General features: G+C 41.8%; 1 protein-coding gene across 2 annotated transcripts in view, besides 1 other annotated feature; it reads left to right on the forward strand.

The window, feature by feature from the left end:
• MSN (moesin) overlaps positions 1-23,161 on the forward strand; it is a 153,555-nt gene that overhangs the window by 12,558 nt on the left and 117,836 nt on the right. The window lies entirely within an intron of this gene.
• Positions 983-1,102: an enhancer, noted in NCBI's record as "active region_29714". NCBI's record gives its function as "activates an Ori minimal core promoter by ATAC-STARR-seq in GM12878 lymphoblastoid cells {active_cell/tissue: GM12878}" and the evidence as "EXISTENCE:reporter gene assay evidence [ECO:0000049][PMID:35858748]".

Consider the following 23,161-nt stretch of genomic DNA (forward strand, 5'->3'; position numbering starts at 1 on the left):
TCTTTCTCAAGAGCCGTCAGCTCTACCAAGCACAGTAAGCTCTCAATAAGTATTTATTGCCTTGAAATTGAATTATAGCTGTCTAAGCCAAAACCCAGAGAAAAGGAGAAATTTATTCAAGATCTCACAGAGGAATTTGAACTTGAATCCTGGTTTCTGGATTTCCTGTCAAGAACTCTTGCAAAAATGTCATCCTGCCTTGTGATAGCTCAGGTTCAGACCTCTGGCAGTGGAGGGCTTATACTGCTCTGACCAACGTGTGACTGGGTCTAGTCTCTTTACCCCTCTGGGCCTCAGTGCTCTCATCTGCACTGTGTGAAGATTAGGCTACAAGGTATTCAGAGGGCCTTTCTAGTTCTGCTCCTAGGAATCTGTGACCAACACTGAGAATATAAACCTGTGGGCCCTTGGGTGGGGTGAGGAGGGGAGGAAGCAGTTGGGGCCTGCCTCATAAGCTGTGTGTCACACCTTCCTCCCTCTCCCCTGACTCCAAATCTCCATTAAAAGAAGTAGAATAACTTTTCCGGTTTGGGAAATCATTCTCTGACCCAAAAGCCATTGGGCCTCTGGAAAGTGGGACAGCGTGTCCAGCCCACAGCCTCTAAATGCCTTATAGGGCTAGAAAGGCCACGGTGGCTGGCTGGGCGGGTGGGAAATGGTTGGCTTGGAGAAGCTCCCCATTTCTGGAAGATCTAACCCTGGTGGGGAAGGGAGGTGACTGCCACTTAGCCCTGGCAGGTTGACAGGCTGGGCTGAACCAGTGTGTTCTGGAAAGGCCAGGAATGATGTCATGGGACACTTTGGGCTGCAACAACAGGAAACCACTGAGTGTTTACATTGGCTCTCAGAGCTCAGGCAGCCTGTTTTTTCTTCACTTCCTCAGTCTATCTGTTTCCTCTGATTCAAATACTATGAAGAGGGACTCATTGCCCAGGCCAGGGAAAGTGGAAAGGAGGCCCAAGAAGAAAGAGCCTCCTTCCCAGCCCAGAATGTCAGATGCTTGGGAGGGAAGGCCAGCTTTACCCTAGCTGGGCCCCTGCCAAGAATAGATCTTAGGGTAGGGAAGCAAGACAGTTAGGGCCTACTCTGAGCGTTCTACAGCTCCATGGATAGCAACTTCAAACTTCTTCCAAAGACCCAAGTTCTAAACTTGGAAGCCATCTTGTATTCTCTTCAGATCTAATCAGTTACCAAATCTTGTTAATTAAATCTAATTGATTCCATTTTAACCAACAGTGGATTTGTGTGCAAACTGCTGTGTTGTGCTGTCTGTGTGTGGCAGGGGAGACAACACAGGTAGTGGGTGACATACAAAGATAAAAGAGTTCTTGCCCTCAGGGAATTAATGATAGAGTGACAGAGTAACAGTAGGATGTCCTCCATCTGTTTCCATCTCTTCATCTCCAAGGCTGCTGCTCCAGTTCAGGAACACCCATCATTTCCCAGCTGTATGCAACAGTCTTTTAATGGGCCTCCCTGTTTCCAGTCTTTCCCCTCCCATGCTTCCTTCATAATTATATTGAAGTGACTCCGATATAATTATGGAGGAATGCTCTCCAGCTCCACTCTCCAGCTCCACTCTCCAGCTCCACTCTCCAGCTCCACGCTCTCTCATCAAGCCTCCTAGATGGTGTGGCAGGGTGGCTTTGAGTTTTGTCTCGGTGTCAGGCAGACCTGGGTTTGAGTGGGTACCTTACCATTCACTATTGGCTGTGTGACAGTGGGCAGTGGCTTTGCTTTTCCAAACAGCTATTTGTCTAGCTTTAGCTTCTTTATTGACAAAATGAAGATAAATTCTACCTCACGGGGCTGTTGTGAGAATTAAATGAAATAATGTATGTATGGTGCCCCATACAGAGTTAACACTTGATAAATGGCAGTTCTAATTACCATGCCTCAGATGTGTCATGTTCATTTCTATCTCAGCTCCTTTATGCCATCTGAAACAGGCTCCTTTCTCTTAAAGACTACTGTAACTGGTAGGAACCTTAGAGACCATATAGAGGAGTCTGATTACCCCTACTGAGGCCAGGGAGGGGAAACAACGTGCTCAAGGTTACACAGAAAGTGAATTCCAGATCAGGTGCAGTGGCTCACACCTGTAATCCCAGCACTTTGGGAGGCCAAGGTGGGTGGATCACCTGACATCTGGAGTTCTAGACCAGCCTGGCGAACATGGTGAAACCTCGTCTCTACTAAAAATACAAAAATTATTTGGGCGAGATGGTGGGTGCCTGTAATCCCAGCTACTCAGGAGGCTGAGGCAGGAGAATCACTTGAAGTTGGGAGGTGTAGGTTGCAGCAAGCTGAGATCACGCCACTGCACTTCAGCCTATAGTGTGACAAGAGCAAAACTCCATCTCAAAAAACAAAAGAAAGAAAATGAATTCCAGAACCACAACTAAAACACTTTACAAATGTTAACTCATTTTATCTTAACAGCAGCCCTGTAAGGTCGGTAGTAGGGGTAGTATGTACTATTATTAGATCCATTTAATAGATGAAAGGACAGGCTCAGATAGGTTAGGTAACTTGCCTAAGGTCATGCACCTGGAAATGACAGATCCAGGTTATGAATCTAAGTAGTCTGACCTCAAGCAGCTGAGCACTTGAAATGTGATTACTGTGACTAAGGAATTTAATTTCTAATAATAATTTATTTTAATAAATCTAAAGTTAAAATGTAATAGCCACTTGAAGCTAATGGCTACCATGTTGGACAGGATGGTTCTAGATTATAGGGCTTCTTCAGACTCCGGAAGAATAAGAGCCATATCTAATAAACTTTTATGTCATTACAGTGCCCAGCACTGTGCATGACATATCTACCATTATGTTCAAATTCAGTTATGTTAGCAGGCTCTTGTGATCCAGGCAAAAAGTGAGCCTACAATATAGTAGTCACAGTCAAGAGGGACAGAAGGGAACATATTTGAGAGATCATTATTAACAACGTGGTAGTCACAGTCAAGAGAGACAGAAGGGGACATATTTGAGAGATCATTGTTATCACTATCACCATCATCACCATTATCATAGTAAAATTAATAGGTAATTAAGTACTTATGTGCCAGGCAACTGGTTTAGGTGCTTTACATAGATTAATTCATTTGATTCTTACAACAACTTTATGAAGTAGGCTTAGGTACCATTACCATCATTCCCATTTTGCAGGTAAGGGAATGAGGCACAGAAAGTTGAAGTGACTAGTAAGTTGCAGAGCCAGGATATAAGCCAAGGCAGGCTGGTTTTAGAAACCAATGTCTTAACAACTACTCTATATCATGCACTGGAGCAGAGGACAGATGTCCAGGGAGCAATATGACAGCTTTGGTTTGGTTCATGGTAGGGTTGTGGTGCACGTGGGATGTCCAGAGGGAGATAGCCAGTAGATGGCTGGCCATGTGGGTTTCAAGCTCAGAGAAGAGTGCAGGGTTAGAGATAGAATATTTGAAATCATCAGCATAAAGATGGCAGTTGAAGCCACAGGAAACCATGTCATCCCACAGGGAAAGTGTGCGGTGTTAATAGAGGTTAGGAAACACTATGCATCAACATAAAGGAGGGATTCTCTGATAGTGGATTTCAGGTAGAATGAATAGGCTCCTTCTGAAGGTGGCAGCAGATCAGAAATAAGCATAGGGAACAAGAAGGGCAGAGAAAGGGATTGAACTAAACATCTTTCCCCCAAATCTGCTCTTCTCTAGTGGTCTCTACCTCAGTGAATGGCTCCACCATCAACATAATTGGACAAACCCAGAACCTGGGGATCACCTCTAACTCTTCCATCTCCTTCACCTGTCATATTCAATCTATTATCAAAGTCCATTGGCTCTTTTCAAAATTTATCCTGAACCTAACCTCTTCTGCCCACCTCCACCACCACTACCCTTGTCTAAGCCATCATCACACTTCACCTATATGACTGAAGTGGCCTCCTTCCTGGTCTCCCTGCTTCCATACTTACCTCCCTACAGTCAATGCTCAACCCAGCATTCAGAGTGATCATGTTAAAAACAAAAGTCGGTTTATGTCATTCCTCTGTTCGCACCTAGCCCATGGCTTCTCCAGCACACTCAGGACTTACAATCCTATTAAAGATGCCTCAGCCTCTGTCCTGGGCTCCAGATTAATGTTTGACATCTCCATGTGATAAATTACCATTTGATAATTTGACATCTCCATTTGGTTTGACCTTTCCGTTTGGTAAATTACCATTTGGTAAATTCTCCATTTACCACTGGTAAATCAAAGACAGCCAAAACAGAACATTGCCACTCCAAAGCTTGTTCCTACACAATCTTTCCTGCCAAAGAAACATGGCACCATCATCCACCCAGGTAGCAAGCCAGAAATCTAAGCGTTAGCTTTGCCTCCTCTTTCTTATTACCCCTAACCATTCAGCCTATCGGCAAGTCCTGCTACACTCAGAATATATCCCTAACACATCCACCTCTCTCTTCATTTACTTCCCACCAATCCAGTCCAAGTCCCTATCATCTGTCAACTGGATGACTTGCCCTAGCCTCCTTACAGGTCTCCTGGCTTCTACCCTTGCCCCCTACAACCCATTCTTTACAATAAATCCAGAAGAATCTTTGTAAAACATAGATCATGCTAATCCCCTGCATGAAACTCTCCAGTGTCTTTCCATCACATGAGGACCACAAGCCAAATTTTTTGCTATAGCCCAAAAGAGCCTACATGATCTAGTCCCTGCAAATGTTTCCAACTCCTTCTCCTACTACTCACTCCTTTTCTCACCGTGATTCAGCCACTCTGATCATTTTTCTGGTATTTGAACAGCTCAAACCCATCACCACCTCCTCTCCTTACTAATCACCTGATTCACTCCTTCCTCAGGCATCAGCTCAGATATTCACTGGCTCTGAGAGACTCTTTTCCATATCCCAGACTAAGAAATTCCTTCTGTGTGTCACTCTCACAGCATCCCGTCATTCTCCTTCACAGCGTTAAGCCTAGGTTCAATCGTTAATTTCATTAATTGATTAATCAATCAATTTTTGAGACAGGGTCTTGCTGTGTCCCCCATGCTGGAGTGCAGTGGCATGATCACAGCTCACTGCAGCCTTGACCTCCCAGGCTCAAGCGATCCTTCTACCTCAGCTTCCTGAGTGACTGGGTCTACAAGTATGCACCACCATACCGAGGATTTTTTTTGTTTTTTGTTTGTTTTTATGTTTTTTTTTTTTTGAGACAGAGTCTCGCTCTGTCACCAGGCTGGAGTGCAGTGGCATGATCTTGGCTCACTGCAACCTCCGCCTCCTGGGTTCAAGCAATTCTCTGCCTCAGCCTCCCGAGTAGCTGGGATTACAGGCGCCCACCACCATGCCCGGCTAATTTTTGGATTTTTAGTAGAGATGGGGTTTCACCATCTTGGCCAGGCAGGTCTTGATCTCCTGACCTCGTGATCCACCCGCTTCAGCCTCCCAAAGTACTGGGATTACAGGTGTGAGCCACCACACCCGGCCTGTTTTTATGTTTTGAGACAGAGTCTTGCTCTGTTCCCCAGACCGGAGTACAGTGGTACAATCTCGGCTCACTGCAATCTCCACCTTCCAGGTTCAAGCTATTCTCCTGCCTCAGCTTCCTGGGTAGCTGGGACTACAGGCATGTGCCACCATGCCCAGCTAATTTTTGTATTTTTAGTAGACGAGGTTTTGCCATGTTGGCCAGGCTAGTTTCAAACTCCTGAACTCAAGCAGTTCTCCTGCCTTGGCTTCTCAAAGTGCTAGGATTACAGGTATGAGCCACTGAGCCCAGGCTGATCATCAATTTAATTACTAGATTGTAACCTCCATGAGAACAGGGACTGTCCATCGTAGAATTCTGTCCCATATGCCTAACACAGTAGCTGCAATATAGTATTAATTCATTTGCTTATTCATTCATGCAAAACTATTTATCAAACAGTCACTATTTGCAAGTTACTGTTCTAGGAGCTTGAGGTACAAAACAGACATAAATGACTTGCCTTCATGGAGCTTATATTCCAGTGGGTCACACACTGAGTGGCAGGAATTATATTTGATATTTATTGGATCTGTGATATTAAGCCTGAGTAGAACTGTATTACTTAGTTTATTCATTTATTCAACAAACATCTAATGAGTATTTTCAATGGACCAGGTATTTTATACATCTTTTCATTTAATCCGTGAAATAACCCTGTGAGAGAGATATCACTAGCCCCATTTCTAAGAGAGAGAAATTGAGGCGAGAGAAGTTTAGCAACTTGCCTTAGGTTAAGTAGTAAGCAGTCAAGTGCATGTAGTTTGACCACAAAGCTTGCCAGCTTACTCATCACACTATAACATACTGCTTTTGACAAGTCAGTTCTGGCTCTAAAATGATACAAAGGAACCCCTGCAGGGCCTCTGACCCAGAGGGAGATCTTGAGAAAATGAAGCTATGGAGAAAACTCCCAGCCTACACCAAGCCTGATATAACCCCGATGTACTCTCCATTCCTTGTGGTGATAGAGTAGACCTCATAACTGGGTTTCCTTTGACAGATGGGGAAAATAGAGACACAGGGTCAGGGAAGGAGTCACCCAAAGGCACATTTAGCAGTGAAGAAAGACCCTGGCACCCTTGTATTCATGATATCATAGAATAAGGCACTGAGAGTTAACTTCAGGAAGGAGACCAGTGGTGGTGGCTACAGAACAAGTACCCAATTGTCAATCTTAAGCCTGGGTTCTTGGGTAAGGTCCTGTCTCCATGCCTTTATGTGAACCCAGGAGGTCTTTGCTATTCCAGACCATTCCCTGCCCTCACTTCCAATTCTGCCCTATCCTGAGCCAAATGTTTGAAAGACAGGAGGCAGGGGACATGGTTCTGGGGCTCAACCTCTCCCACCATAAAGGCAAATATAAGGAAAAGTCACTGGGCGTGGTGACACATGCTTGTAATTGTTGCTACTCAGGAGGTTGAGGCAGGAGGATCACTTGAGCCCAAGTGATCTGCCCAAGTGAGCCCAAGACTCTGTCTCAATTAAAATTAAGAAATAAAAAGATACAAGGAAATGTATTCAACACTGAAAGGGAGGCAGGGTGCAAGGGCAGGTGGAAAGGGGCATAGCCCTACCAGACTGCCCTTCCCTGAGGTGCAGGACAAAGCTCTGTCTGTGTAGTCATCTCTGCGAACTGATTCCAAATGCCACGGTGTGGGGCAGACAAACAAGGAAAGGGGGTGGGAAGGATTTACAATCTTTGGATATGGGCTGGGCAGAGCCTGTCAGTCGGTATGAGACTGTGTGTGAGTTAAATGAAGACAGTTTTGCATGGAGACAGGGCAGGCCTGGGAGAGGAGGAGAAAGGGAGGAGCATGAGGCAGGGTGAGTGAAGAACCTCTGTACCCAGTTTTGTTGCTAGAACACAGTTGTGACTGTGTATTTCTAGGAGATGTGTTCATACCTGAGTGGGTAGGTGGAAGGTAGGGCTTATTTATGCAAGGCCCATGCAGGAATATGTGTATGTGAGGTGTGTGTGTGTGTGTGTGTATGCGAAGTGTCAGGGGAGGGAAAGTTGTGGGTGTCAGTGTCCTTGTAAAGTCAGTCTGGATGTGCATTTCAGTTTTTGTGTGGAATGCAAGAAACACAGGATATAGGCAGGCAGTGTGTATCGGGGAGATTTTATATGTGAGACATGTAAGGGGAAAATGGGGCTAAGCATGCAGTGTGTGCTGAGGGTTATGGGGAACATTGAGGTGAGGTGTTGGCAGAGTACATGGCATGCTGTCTGTGTGGAGTAAACAAGAGCTTTGGAATGGTCTAAGTGTACCAGGCATTCTCAGTAACCTCAGCCATGTCTCTCTGAACCTCAGCTTCTCTGCTGAAAAAGGATAAGCCCCACCCACATACAGGGTTGTATAAAAATTCAGTGAGTTAATCAATGAGAATTGTCCTGCTCACAATAGGTGCTCAAGAAATGGTTACTACCATGATTCTGGTTGTGAAGTGAAATTGCCAACACCTGAGACAGAGCTCATTAAATGTCTACCAAACTGAAGAATAAATGACTTCTTGGTTTGGTTTTGCCTGCTTAACACCAAAAAGCCAATTGGTAACTTAACTGGGGCTTGTATTAGCTCATTATTTTTTATTCATTTATATTTTATTTTTTATTATATTTATAGCTCCAGGGCTCTCAATGAGAGCCCTGGAGCTATATATACAAAGTCCCTGAAGGTGTTGGTGGGGAGTAGGGAAGGGAAGAGATTGTTGGAAAGCCAATCAGACAGGCCTGGGCAAAAACCAGGGGAAGAGGCCAAGAACACTCTATGCACCCAAGGAACTGAGTCAAGGAGAAGTAAAAGCCAGTGAAGTGTCCAGAATGCAAGGGGATATAGGGTTTCCATGCCTACCCTGGGCTCCGTTATTCCAAGGCAGCTCTTGAGTTTAAGGCTCAGGCCTGCCCAGAACAAGGCAAAATTGACCTCTTAAAGAGCAGAGGAAAGGGAGGGGCAGAGACTGCTTGTACAGGAAATGCCCATTGCTATGAACTTGATCACATATAAAGCACGTAGCTCTACAACCTAGTCTCTAGGGCTTGACCCAAGCCAGGGCTCAGCAAGTGGTCATGGAGAACAGAAGCCACATAGTCCCAGGGCCATAACAGTATTAAGGATAAAGAGTAGATTTCCTGGCCAGGCGCGGTGGCTCATGTCTGTAATCCCAGCACTTTGGGAGGCCAAGGTGGGCGGATAATGAGGTCAGGAGATCAAGACCATCCTGGCTAACACGGTGAAACCCCATCTCTACTAAAAATACAAAAAATTAGCCGGGCGTGGTGGCATGTGCCTGTAGTCCCAGCTACCTGGGAGGTTGAGGCAGGAGAATCACTCGAACCCGGGAGGCAGAGGTTGCAATGAGCTGAGATCACACCACTGCATTCCAGCCTGGGTGACAGAGCAAGACTCCACCTAAAAAAAAAAAAGTAGATTTCCTGACAACTTATTTGTGTGTATGTTGTCTGTCTCCTCTCACTAGAATATTCTTCACTACTATTTTCCCGGTACCTAGACCTAGCATGGAGTAGGTACTTCATAAATGGTTACAATAGATTATAGCCATAAGAATTATATTTATTGTACCCGTTATTACCATTTTTTCCTTTTTGGTATTTTTTTAACTGTGGCAAAATACATATCACAAAATTTTCCAACTTAACCATTTTCAAGTGTTCAATTCAGTGGCTTTAATTACATTCACAGTGTTGTGCAACCATCACCACTTATCTATTTCTGAAACGTTTTCATCAACCCAAACGGAAACTCTGTAACCATTAAGCAATAACTTCCTACTCCCTGCCTCCCTCCTGTCCCTGGTAACTTCTAATCTACTTTCTGTCTGTATGAATTTGCCCATTTTGAATATTTCATATAAGTGTCTTTATATAATATTTGTCCTTTTGTTTTTGGCTTATTTCATTAACAATGTTTTCAAGGCTCATTCACATTACAGCATATATAAGAACTTCATTCCTTTTAACAAATGAATAATATTCCATTGTATGTATATACCGTATTTTATTTATCCATTGATCTGTTGATGGACATATGAGTTGTTTCCATATTTTGGCTATTGTGAATAATGCTGCAGTGAACATTGGCATACAGGTATCTGTTTGAATACCTGTTTTAAATTCTTTTGGGTGTATACCAAGGAGTGGAATTGCTGGGTCATATGGTAATTCTATGTTTAACTTTTTGAGGAACTGCCAAACTGCTTCCCATAGCATCTGCACCATTTTGCATTATTACTAACAATGTATGAAACTTAGAATTTCCCCACAACTTTTCAACATTTACTTTCTATTCTTTTTTAAAGCTTTTAATACTTGTTTATTTTTAACTGTAGCAAAATACACTTAACATGCCACTGCACTCCAGTGTGGGTGACAGAGTGAGACTCCTCAAAAACAAATACACATAACATAAAATTTACCATTTTAACAATTTGTAGATTTACAATTCTGTAGTGTTAAGCATATTCACATTGTTATATAACCAATCTCCAGAACTCTTTTCATCTTGCAAAATTGAAATTCTATACCCATTAAACAACAACTCCTCATTTTGCCCTTCCACCAGGCCTAGGGAAACCATAATTTTTCTTTCTGTCTCAATGAATTTGACTACTTCAGGTACCTCATACAAGTTAAATTATACAGTTTCTTCCATCCTTCCTTTCTTTCTTTCTTTCTTTCTATTTTTTTTTTTTTTTGGAGTCTTGCTGTCTCATCCAGGCTGGCGTGCAGTGGCACAATCTTGGCTCACTGCAACCTCCGCCTCCCAGGTTCAAGCGATTCTCCTGCCTCAGCCTCCCAAGTAGCTGCGATTACAGGTGTGTGCCACCATGCCCAGCTAATTTTTGTATTTTTAGTAGAGACGGAATTTCACCATGTTGCCCAGGCTGATCTCAAACTTTTGACCTCAGGTGATCCACCCACCTCGGCCTCCCAAAGTGCGGGGATTACAGGTGTGAGCCACTGTGCCTGGCCAGTATCAGTATTTCTGTGACTGGTTTATTTCACTTAGCATAATGTCCTCAAGCTTCATCCATGTTGTAGCTTGTGTCAAAATTTCCTTCCCTTGTAAGGCTGAATAATATTCCATTGTATGTCTATACAACATTTAGTATATTTCATTCATCCTTTGATGGACACTTGGGTTGCTTCTACCTTTCAGCTATTTTGAACAATGCTGCTGTGAACTTGGGTGTATGAGTATCTCTTTGAGACCCTGCTTTCAATTACTTTGAGTATATACCCAGGATTGAAATTTCCAGATCACATGGTAATTTGGTTTTTAATTTTTTGAGGTATTGTCATACTGTTTTCCAAAGTGCCTGTACCATTTAATATTCCCACCAACAGTTCACAGAAGCTCCAATTTCTCTATATCCTCACCAATACTCCACTCTTTTTGGGTTATAGCCATCCTAATGGTTGTGAAGTGGTAGCTCATTGTGGGTTTGTTTTGCATTTTCCTAATGACTAAAAATGTTGAGCATATTTTTATGTGCTTATTTGATATTTTATATCTTCTTTGAAGAAATATCTATGCAAGTACTTTGTCCATTTTTTAAATTGGGTTGTGCTATGGTTTGAATGTGTCCCTCCAAAAGTGTGTTGGAAACTTACTCCCCAATGCAACAATTGGGAGGTGGGAGGTGGGACCTAATGAGAGGTGATTAGGTCATGAAGTGTATTAACACAGGAGTGGGTTTGTTATTGTGGGAAAAGGCTCATTATAAAAGGCAAGTTTGGTCCCCTTTTCTCTCTCTCTCACCCTCTCTTGCCCTCTAGCCTTCCACTATGTGATGACACATCAAGATAGCCCTCACTAGATGCTAGCTCCTTAATCTTGGACTTCGTAGCCTCCACAAGTGTAAGCCAATACTTTTCTGTTCCTCATAAATTACCTACTCTCGGGTATTCTGTTATAGCAGCACAAAATGGACTCAGGTTATTCATCTTTTTGTTGCTGAGCTGTAGCAATTCTCTATATATTTTGGATACTAACTCCTTATCATATATAATTTGCAACTATTTTCTCCCATTTTGTAGCTTGTCTTTTCTGTTTCTTCGTAATGGTTTTTTTTTTTTGTTTATTTTTGTGAAGCAGGGTCTCGCTCTGTCACCCAAGCTGGAGTGCAGTGTTGCGATCTTAGCTCACTGCCACCTCCTCCTCCTGGGTTCAAGCGATCCTCCTGCCTCAGCTTCTCAAGTAGCTAGGACTACAGACACATGCCCCCACACCCAGCTAATTTCTGTATTTTTAGTAGAGATGGGGTTTCACCATGTTAGCCAGACTGGTCTCAAGTGATTCCCCCGCCTCAGCCTCCAAAAGTGCTAGGATTACAGGTTTGAGCCACTGCACCCGAACCATGGTGTTTTTTTTTTTTGGGGGGGGGTACGATACAACTTTTTTTTATATATACTTTAAGTTCTGGGATACATGGGCAGAATGTGCAGGTTTGTTACGTAGATATACATATGCCATGGTGGTTTGCTGCACCCATCAACTCGCCATCTACGTTAGGTATTTCTCCTAATGTTATCCCTCCCCTTGCCCCCAACCCCCAACAGGCCTCAGTGTGTGATGTTCCCTGTGTCCATGTGTTCTCATTGTTCAATTCCCACTTATGAGTGAGAACATGCTGTGTTTGATTTTCTGTTCCTGTGTTAGTTTGCTGAGAATGATGGTTTCCAGCTTCATCTATGCCCCTGCAAAGGACATGAACTCATTCTTTTTTATGGATGCATAGTATTCCATTGTGTATATGTGCCATGTTTTCTTCATCCAGTTTATCATTGATGGGCATTTGGGTTGGTTCCAAGTCTATGCTCTTGCAAATAGTGCTGCAATAAACATATGTGTGCATGTGTCTTTATAGCAGAATGATTTATAATACTTTGGGAATATACCCAGTAATGGATTGCTGGGTCAAATGGTATTTCTGCTTCTAGATCCTTCAGGAATCGCCACATTGTCTTCCACAATGGTTGAACTAATTTTCACTCCCACCAACAGTGTAAAAGCATTTCTATTTCTCCACATCCTCTACAGCATCTGTTTCCTGACGTTTTAATGATTGCCATTCTAACTAGTATGAGAAGGTATCTCATTGTGGTTTTGATTTGCATTTCTCTAATGACCGGTGATGATGATCTTTTTTTCATAAGTTTGTTGACAGCACAAATGTCTTCTTTTGAGAAGTATCTGTTCATGTCCTCTGCTCACTTTTTGATGGGGTTGTTTGATTTTTCTTATAAATCTGTTTAAGTTCTTTGTATAGTCTGGATATTAGCCCTTTGTTGAATGGATAGATTGCAAAAATTTTCTCCCATTCTGTAGGTTGCCTGTTCACTCTGATGATAGTTTCTTTTGCTGTGCAGAAGCTCGTTAGTTTAATTAGATCCCATTTGTCAATTTTGGCTTTTGTTGCAATTGCTTTTGGTGTTTTAGTCATGAAGTCTTTGCCTATGTCTATGTCCTGAATGGTATTGCCTAGGTTTTCTTCTAGGGTTTTTATGGTTTTAGGTCTTACATTTAGGTCCTTATTCATCTTGAGTTAATCTTTGTATAAGGTGTAAGGAAGAGGTCCAGTTTCAGTTTTCTGCATATGGCTAGCCAGTTTTCCCAACACCATTTATTAAATAGGGAATCCTTTCCCCATTGCTTGTTTTTGTCAGGTTTGTCAAAGATCAGATGGTTGTAGATATGTAGTTTTATTTCTGAGACCTCTGTTCTGTTCCATTGGTCTATATATCTGTTTTGGTACCAGTACCATGTTGTTTTGGTTACTGTAGCCTGGTATTATAGTTTGAAGTCAGCAAGTGTGATGCCTCCAGCTTTGTTCTTTTTGCTTAGGATTTTCTTGGTTATACGGGCTCTTTTTTTCTTCCATATAAAATTTAAAGTAGTTTTTTTTCTAATTTTGTGGAGAAAGTCAATGGTAGCTTAATGGGGATAGCATTGAAGCTATAAATTACTTTGGACAGTATGGCCATATTCATGATATTCTTTCTTCCTATCCATGAGCATGGAATGTTTTTCCCTTTGTTGTGTCCTCTTATTTCCTTGAGCAGTGGTTTGTAATTCTCCTTGAAGAGGTCCTTCACATCCCTTGTAAGTTGTATTCCTAGGTATTTTATTCTCTTGTAGCAATTGTGAATCAGAGTTCATTCATGATTTGACTCTCTGTTTTTTTTTTTCTTTTATTTATTTATTTATTTTTTCTTTTTTTTTTTTAATTATACTTTAAGTTTTAGGGTACATGTGCACATTGTGCAGGTTAGTTACAAATGTATACATGTGCCATGCTGGTGCACTGCACCCACTAACTCGTCATCTAGCATTAGGTATATCTCCCGATGCTATCCCTCCCCCCTCCCCCCACCCCACAACAGTCCCCAGAGTGTGATATTCCCCTTCCTGTGTCCATGTGATCTCATTGTTCAATTCCCACCTATGAGTGAGAATATGCGGTGTTTGGTTTTTTGTTCTTGTGATAGTTTACTGAGAATGATGATTTCCAATTTCATCCATGTCCCTACAAAGGACATGAACTCATCATTTTTTATGGCTGCATAGTATTCCATGGTGTATATGTGCCACATTTTCTTAATCCAGTCTATCATTGTTGGACATTTGAGTTGGTTCCAAGTCTTTGCTATTGTGAATAATGCTACAACAAACATACGTGTGCATGTGTCTTTATAGCAGCATGATTTATAGTCCTTTGGGTATATACCCAGTAATGGGATGGCTGGGTCAAATGGTATTTCCAGTTCTAGATCCCTGAGGAATCGCCACACTGACTTCCACAACGGTTGAACTAGTTTACAGTCCCACCAACAGTGTAAAAGTGTTCCTATTTCTCCACATCCTCTCCAACACCTGTTGTTTCCTGACTTTTTAATGATTGCCATTCTAACAGGTGTGAGATGGTATCTCATTGTGGTTTTGATTTGCATTTCTCTGATGGCCAGTGATGGTGAGCATTTTTTCATGTGTTTTTTGGCTGCATAAATGTCCTCTTTTGAGAAGTGTCTGTTCATGTCCTTCGCCCACTTTTTGATGGGGTTGTTTGTTTTTTTCTTGTAAATTTGTTTGAGTTCATTGTAGATTCTGGATATTAGCCCTTTGTCAGATGAGTAGGTTGTGAAAATTTTCTCCCATTTTGTAGGTTGCCTGTTCACTCTGATGGTAGTTTCTTTTGCTGTGCAGAAGCTCTTTAGTTTAATTAGATCCCATTTGTCAATTTTGTCTTTTGTTGCCATTGCTTTTGGTGTTTTAGACATGAAGTCCATGCCCATGCCTATGTCCTGAATGGTAATGCCTAAGTTTTCTTCTAGGGTTTTTGTGGTTTTAGGTCTAACGTTTAAGTCTTTAATCCATCTTGAATTGATTTTTGTATAAGGTGTAAGGAAGGGATCCAGTTTCAGCTTTCTACATATGGCTAGCCAGTTTTCCCAGCACCATTTATTAAATAGGGAACCCTTTCCCCATTGCTTGTTTTTGTCAGGTTTGTCAAAGATCAGATAGTTGTAGATATGCGGCGTTATTTCTGAGGGCTGTGTTCTGTTCCATTGATCTATATCTCTGTTTTGGTACCAGTACCATGCTGTTTTGGTTACTGTAGCCTTGTAGTATAGTTTGAAGTCAGGTAGTGTGATGCCTCTAGCTTTGTTCTTTTGGCTTAGGATTGCTTTGGTGATGTGGGCTCTTTTTTGGTTCCATATGAACTTTAAAGTGGTTTTTTCCAATTCTGTGAAGAAAGTCATTGGTAGCTTGATGGGGATGGCATTGAATCTGTAAATTACCTTGGGCAGTATGGCCATTTTCACGATATTGATTCTTCCTACCCATGAGCATGGAATGTTCTTCCATTTGTTTGCATCCTCTTTTATTTCCTTGAGCAGTGGTTTGTAGTTCTCCTTGAAGAGGTCCTTCACATCCCTTGTAAGTTGGATTCCTAGGTATTTTATTCTCTTTGAAGCAATTGTGAATGGGAGTTCACTCATGATTTGGCTCTCTGTTTGTCTGTTGTTGGTGTATAAGAATGCTTGTGATTTTTGTACATTGATTTTGTATCCTGAGACTTTGCTGAAGTTGCTTATCAGCTTAAGGAGATTTTGGGCTGAGACAATGGGGTTTTCTAGATATACAATCATGTCATCTGCAAACAGGGACAATTTGACTTCCTCTTTTCCTAATTGAATACCCTTTATTTCCTTCTCCTGCCTGATTGCCCTGGCCAGAACTTCCAACACTATGTTGAATAGGAGTGGTGAGAGAGGGCATCCCTGTCTTGTGCCAGTTTTTAAAGGGAATGCTTCCAGTTTTTTCCCATTCAGTATGATATTGGCTGTGGGTTTGTCATAGATAGCTCTTATTATTTTGAAATACGTCCCATCAATACCTAATTTATTGAGAGTTTTTAGCATGAAGAGTTGTTGAATTTTGTCAAAGGCCTTTTCCGCATCTATTGAGATAATCATGTGGTTTTTGTCTTTGGCTCTGTTTATATGCTGGATTACATTTATTGATTTGCATATATTGAACCAGCCTTGCCTCCCAGGGATGAAGCCCACTTGATCATGGTGGATAAGCTTTTTGATGTGCTGCTGGATTCGGTTTGCCAGTATTTTATTGAGGATTTTTGCATCAATGTTCATCAAGGATATTGGTCTAAAATTCTCTTTTTTTGTTGTGTCTGTGCCTGGCTTTGGTATCAGAATGATGCTGGCCTCATAAAATGAGTTAGGGAGGATTCCCTCTTTTTCTATTGATTGGAATAGTTTAGAAGGAATGGTACCAGTTCCTCCTTGTACCTCTGGTAGAATTCGCCTGTGAATCCATCTGGTCCTGGACTTTTTTTGGTTGGTAAGCTATTGATTATTGCCACAATTTCAGCTCCTGTTATTGGTCTATTCAGAGATTCAACTTCTTCCTGGTTTAGTCTTGGGAGAGTGTATGTGTCCAGGAATTTATGCATTTCTTCTAGATTTTCTAGTTTATTTGCGTAGAGGTGTTTGTAGTATTCCCTGATGGTAGTTTGTATTTCTGTGGGATTGGTGGTGATATCCCCTTTATCATTTTTTATTGCGTCTATTTGATTCTTCTCTCTTTTTTTCTTTATTAGTCTTGCTAGCGGTCTATCAATTTTGTTGATCCTTTCAAAAAACCAGCTCCTGGATTCATTAATTTTTTGAAGGGTTTTTTGTGTCTCTATTTCCTTCAGTTCTGCTCTGATTTTAGTTATTTCTTGCCTTCTGCTAGCTTTTGAATGTGTTTGCTCTTGCTTTTCTAGTTCTTTTAATTGTGATGTTAGGGTGTCAATTTTGGATCTTTCCTGCTTTCTCTTGTGGACATTTAGTGCTATAAATTTCCCTCTACAGACTGCTTTGAATGCATCCCAGAGATTCTGGTATGTTGTGTCTTTGTTCTCGTTGGTTTCAAAGAACATCTTTATTTCTGCCTTCATTTCGTTATGTACCCAGTAGTCATTCAGGAGCAGGTTGTTCAGTTTCCATGTAGTTGAGCGGTATTGAGTGAGATTCTTAATCCTGAGTTCTAGTTTGATTGCACTGTGGTCTGAGAGATAGTTTGTTATAATTTCTGTTCTTTTACATTTGCTGAGGATTTCTTCACTTCCAACTAAGTGGTCAGTTTTGGAATAAGTGCCATGTGATGCTGACAAAGATATATATGCTGTTGATTTGGGGTGGAGAGTTCTTTAGATGTCTATTAGGTCCGCTTGGTGCAGAGCTGAGTTCAATTCCTGGGTATCCTTGCTGACTTTCTGTCTTGTTGATCTGTCTAATGTTGACAGTGGGGTGTTAAAGTCTCCCATTATTAATGTGTGGGAGTCTAAGTCTCTTTGTAGGTCACTCAGGACTTGCTTTATGAATCTTGGTGCTCATGTATTGGGTGCATATATATTTAGGATAGTTAGCTCTTCTTGTTGAATTGATCCCTTTACCATTATGTAATGGCCTTCTTTGTCTCTTTTGATCTTTGTTGGTTTAAAGTCTGTTTTATCAGAGACTAGGATTGCAACCCCTTCCTTTTTTGGTTTTCCATTGGCTTGGTAGATCTTCCTCCATCCTTTTATTTTGAGCCTATGTGTGTCTCTGCATGTGAGATGGGTTTCCTGAATACAGCACACTGTTGGGTCTTGACTCTTTATCCAATTTGCCAGTCTGTGTCTTTTAATTGGAGCATTTAGTCCATTTACATTTAAAGTTAATATTGTTATGTGTGAATTTGATCCTGTCATTATGATGTTAGCTGGTGATTTTGCTCGTTAGTTGATGCAGTTTCTTCCTAGTCTTGATGGTCTTTATATTTTGGCATGATTTTGCAGTGGCTGGTACCGGTTGTTCCTTTCCATGTTTAGTGCTTCCTTCAGGAGCTCTTGTAAGGCAGGCCTGGTGGTGACAAAATCTCTCAGCATTTGCTTGTCTATAAAGTATTTTATTTCTCCTTCACTTATGAAGCTTAGTTTGGCTGGATATGAAATTCTGGGTTGAAAATTCTTTTCTTTAAGAATGTTGAATATTGGCCCCCACTCTCTTCTGGCTTGTAGGGTTTCTGCCGAGAGATCTGCTGTTAGTCTGATGGGCTTCCCTTTGAGGGTAACCCGACCTTTCTCTCTGGCTGCCCTTAACATTTTTTCCTTCATTTCAACTTTGGTGAATCTGACAATTATGTGTCTTGGAGTTGCTCTTCTCGAGGAGTATCTTCGTGGCATTCTCTGTATTTCCTGAATCTGAACGTTGGCCTGCCTTGCTAGATTGGGGAAGTTCTCCTGGATAATATCCTGCAGAGTGTTTTCCAACTTGATTCCATTCTCCACATCACTTTCAGGTACACCAATCAGACGTAGATTTGGTCTTTTCACATAGTCCCATATTTCTTGGAGGCTTTGTTCATTTCTTTTTATTCTTTTTTCTCTAAACTTCCCTTCTCGCTTCATTTCATTCATTTCATCTTCCATCGCTGATACCCTTTCTTCCAGTTGATCGCATCGGCTCCTGAGGCTTCTGCATTCTTCTCGTAGTTCTCGAGCCTTGGTTTTCAGCTCCATCAGCTCCTTTAAGCACTTCTCTGTATTGGTTATTCTAGTTATACATTCTTCTAAATTTTTTTCAAAGTTTTCAACTTCTTTGCCTTTGGTTTGAATGTCCTCCCGTAGCTCAGAGCAATTTGATCGTCTGAAGCCTTCTTCTCTCAGCTCGTCAAAGTCATTCTCCATCCAGCTTTGTTCCGTTGCTGGTGAGGAACTGCGTTCCTTTGGAGGAGGAGAGGTGCTCTGCTTTTTAGAGTTTCCAGTTCTTCTGTTCCGTTTTTTCCCCATCTTTGTGGTTTTATCTACTTTTGGTCTTTGATGATGGTGATGTACAGATGGGTTTTTGGTGTGGATGTCCTTTCTGTTTGTTAGTTTTCCTTTTAACAGAGAGGACCCTCAGCTGCAGGTCTGTTGGAGTACCCGGCCGTGTGAGGTGTCAGTGTGCCCCTGCTGGGGGGTGCCTCCCAGTTAGGCTGCTCGGGGATCAGGGGTCAGGGACCCACGTGAGGAGGCAATCTGCCCGTTCTCAGATCTCCAGCTGCGTGCTGGGAGAACCACTGCTCTCTTCAAAGCTGTCAGACAGGGACATTTAAGTCTGCAGAGGTTACTGCTGTCTTTTTGTTTGTCTGTGCCCTGCCCCCAGAGGTGGAGCCTACAGAGGCAGGCTGGCCTCCTTGATCTGTGGTAGTCTCCACCCAGTTGGAGCTTCCCGGCTGCTTTGTTTACCTAAGCAAGCCTGGGCAATGGAGGGCGCCCCTCCCCCAGCCTCGCTGCCGCCCCGCAGCTCCATCTCAGAGTGCTGTGCTAGCAACCAGTGAGACTCCGTGGGCGCAGGAACCTCCGAGCCAGGTGCGGGATACAATCTCGCGGTGCGCCGCTTTCCAAGCCCGTCGGAAAAGCGCAGTATTCGGGTGGGAGTGACCCGATTTTCCAGGTGCCGTCCGTCACCCCTTTCTTTGACTCAGAAAGGGAACTCCCTGACCCCTTGCGCTTCCCAAGTGAGGCAATGCCTCGTCCTGCTTCGGGTCGCGCACGGTGCGCACACCCACTGACCTGCGCCCACTGTCTGGCACTCCCTAGTGAGATGAACCCGGTACCTCAGATGGAAATGCAGAAATCACCCGTCTTCTGCGTCGCTTACTCTGGGAGCTGTAGACCGGAGCTGCTCCTATTCGGCCATCTTGGCTCCTCCTCCTCCATGATGTTTTTTGATACATAAAAGTCTTAAATTTTCATGAAATCCAATTTACCTATTTTTTTTTCTTTTGTTACTTTTGGTTTCCTTTCCAAGGATCCATTGTCAAATACTAGATTATGAAGATTTTCACTTTTTTTTTTTTTTGAGAGTTTTACAGTTTTAGGTCTTATATTTTGGTTGATACTTCTCTGTTGTTGTTGTTTTTGAGGTGGAGTCTCCCTCTGTCGCCCAGGCTGGAGTGTAGTGGTGTGATCTCGGCTCACGGCAACCTCCACCTCCCAGGTTCAAGCCATTATCCTCCTGAGTAGCTGGGAATACAGGTGTGTGCCACCACGCCTGGCTAATTTTTTGTATTTTTAGTAGAGATGGGGTTTCACCGTGTTAGCCAGGATGGTCTCAATCTCCTGATCTTGTGATCCGCCCACCTCGGCCTCCCAAAGCACTGGGATTACAGGCATGAGCCTCCGTGCCCTGCCCAGATTGATACTTTCTAAAATTTTAGTAACGTGTGCAAACAAGGTTGATACATTTTGACTTGATTTTTGTACATGGTGTCAGATAAGGGTCCAACTTTATTCTTTTCATATAGAAGTTCAATTGTCCTGGCACCATATGTTGGAAAGGCTATTCTTTCCCCCAGTGAATGGTTTCAACATCCTTATCAAAAACGATTAGCCACAGATGGCTGCATTCATTTCTGGCCTTTCAATTTTATTTCATTCATCTATATGTCTATACTTATGCCAGTACTGCACTGTTTTGATTTTAGTACCTTCATAGTAATTTTAGAGATTGAGAAAAATGTCCTCCAACTTTCTTCATCTTTTTCAAGATTGTGTTAGCTATTCAGGGCCCCTTGTAGTTTCACATAAATTTTAGGATTAAAAAAAAATTTTGAGGATTAGCCTTCCCATTTCTGTAAGAAAAAAACCTGTTGGAATTTGCTACAGATTGCATTAAATCTGTAGACCATTTGAGATAGTATTGTGTTTTAAAAAAATATTAAGCCTTCATACCAATTAACATGGAATGCTTTTTGTATATTTAGGTTTTCTTAAACTTATTTCATCAAAGTTTCCTAGTTTCAGTGTACAAGTTGTTCAACTCCTTGGTTAAATTTATTTTTAGCTATTTTATTCTTTTAGATGCCATTTTAACAGAATTTCTTTACTAATCACCTTTCTGGATTCTGTTGAATAGAAATACAAGTGATTTTGTGTGTTGACATTGTACCCCACAATTTGGCTGAATTTGATTATTAGCTCTAATAGCTTTTGTTGTGGATTATTTGGGATTTTTAAATATATGGGATCATGTCATCTGTGAATAGAGGTAGTTTTATTTCTTCTTTTCTTTTCTTTTTTTTTTTTTTTTGAGTTGGAGTCTCACTCTGTTGCCCAGGTTGGAGTGCAGTGGCTCCATCTCGACTCACTGCAACCTCTGCCTCCTGGGTTCAAACAATTCTCCTGCCTCAGCCTCCTGAGTAGCTGGGATTACAGGCACCTGCCACCACACCTGGCTAATTTTTGTATTTTTTTTGGGGTAGATGTGGGGTTTCACCATGTTAATCAGGTTGGTCTTCAACTCCTAGCCTCAAGTGATCCACCCTTCTCAGCCTCCCAAACTGCTGGGATTACAGGCATGAGCCACCTCACCTTGCCTTATTTCTTCTTTTTCAATTCTGATGTTTTAATTTCTTTTTCTTGTCTTATTGCTCTAGCCAGAACTTCTAGTACAATTTTGAATAGCAGTGATGAAGCTAGGCATCTTTGTTTTTTTTTTTTTTTTTTTTTTCTGAGACGGAGTTTCACTCTGTCACCCATGCTGGAGTGCAGTGGCATGATTTCCGCTCACTGACACCTCTGCCTCCTGGGTTCAAGTGATTCTCTTGCCTCAGCTTCCTGAGTGGCTGGGATTACAGGTGCACACCCCTACACCCAGCTAGTTTTTGTATTTTTAGTAGAGACAGGGTTTTGCTATGTTGGCCAGGCTGATCTTGAACTCCTGACCTCAAGTCTAGCCTCGGCCTCCCAAAGTGCTGGGATTATAGGTGTGAGCCACTGCTCCCAGTCAGCATCTTTGTCTTGTTCTTGATCTTAAAGGGGAAAAGTTTTCAGTTTTTCATAATTGAGTATGTTAGCTGTGAGTTTTTCCATAAATGTTCTTTTTCATGTTGAGAAAGTTTCCTTTTATTCCTAGTTTTCTGAGTGTTTTTATCATCAAAAGGTATAGATTTTGTGAAATGCTTTTCCAGTCTCAATTGAGAAGACCATGTGGGTTTTTCCTCTTCCTTCTTATTAATGTAATATATTACATTGATTGGCTTTTCTTAGGTTGAATGTTCCTTCAATTCATGTGATAAATCCTACATGATTATGATGTATAATCCTTTTAATATGTGACTAGATTTGCTTTGTTAGTATTTAGTTGAGGACCTTTGCCTCTAAATTCATAAGGGAGTTTAGTCTGTATTTTTTTTTTAACATTGTATGCCTTCATCTGGCTTTGGTATTAGGTTAATTCTGTCCTCAAAGAATGAGTTAGAAAGTATTCCCCCTTCTATTTCTTGAAAGAGTTTCATAAGGGATGTTAGCCTGTAATTTCTTTCTTTCTTTTTTTTCTTTCTTTTCTTTTTTTTTTTTTTTTACATTGTATGTCTTCATCTGGCTTTAGTATCAGGTTAATTCTGGCCTCAAATAATGAGTTATAAAGTATTCCCCCTTCTTCTATTTTTTGAAAGAGTTTGAAAATAATTGGCTTTAATTCTTCTTTAAATATTTGGTAGAATTTGGCCAGGCATAGTGGCTCATGCCTGTAATCCCAGCATTTTGGGAGGCCAAGGTGGGCGGATCACCCGAGGTCAGGAGTTCAAGACCAGCCTGGCCTACATGGTGAAACCCCGTCTCTACTAAAAATACAAAAATTACCTGGGGCATGGTGGCAGGCACCTGTAATCCCAGCTACTTGGGAGGCTGAGGCAGGAGAATAACTGGAACCCGGGAGGCGGAGGTTGCAGTGAGCCAAAATCGTGCCATTGCACTCCAGCCTGGGCGACAAGAGAGAAACTCCGTCTCAAAAAAAAAAAAAAAATTTTGGAATTTATAAGTGAAATCATCTGGCTCTGGTTTTTCCTTTGTTGGGAGGTTTTTCACTGCTATTGCAATCTCTGCTTGTTATAGGTAGGTTAAGATTTTCTATTTCTTCTTGAGTTGCTTTAGGGAATTTTTGTGTTTCTAGGAATTTGTCCACTTAATCTAATTTATTCATGAGCAATTGTTTATAGTATTCTTTTGTAATAATTTTTATTTTTGCAAGGCTGGTAGTAATATCTCCACTTTCATTTATTATTTTACTTAC

The sequence above is a fragment of the Homo sapiens genome, chromosome X, assembly GCF_000001405.40.
Source record: "Homo sapiens chromosome X, GRCh38.p14 Primary Assembly".
Classification (NCBI taxonomy): Eukaryota; Metazoa; Chordata; class Mammalia; order Primates; family Hominidae; genus Homo; species Homo sapiens.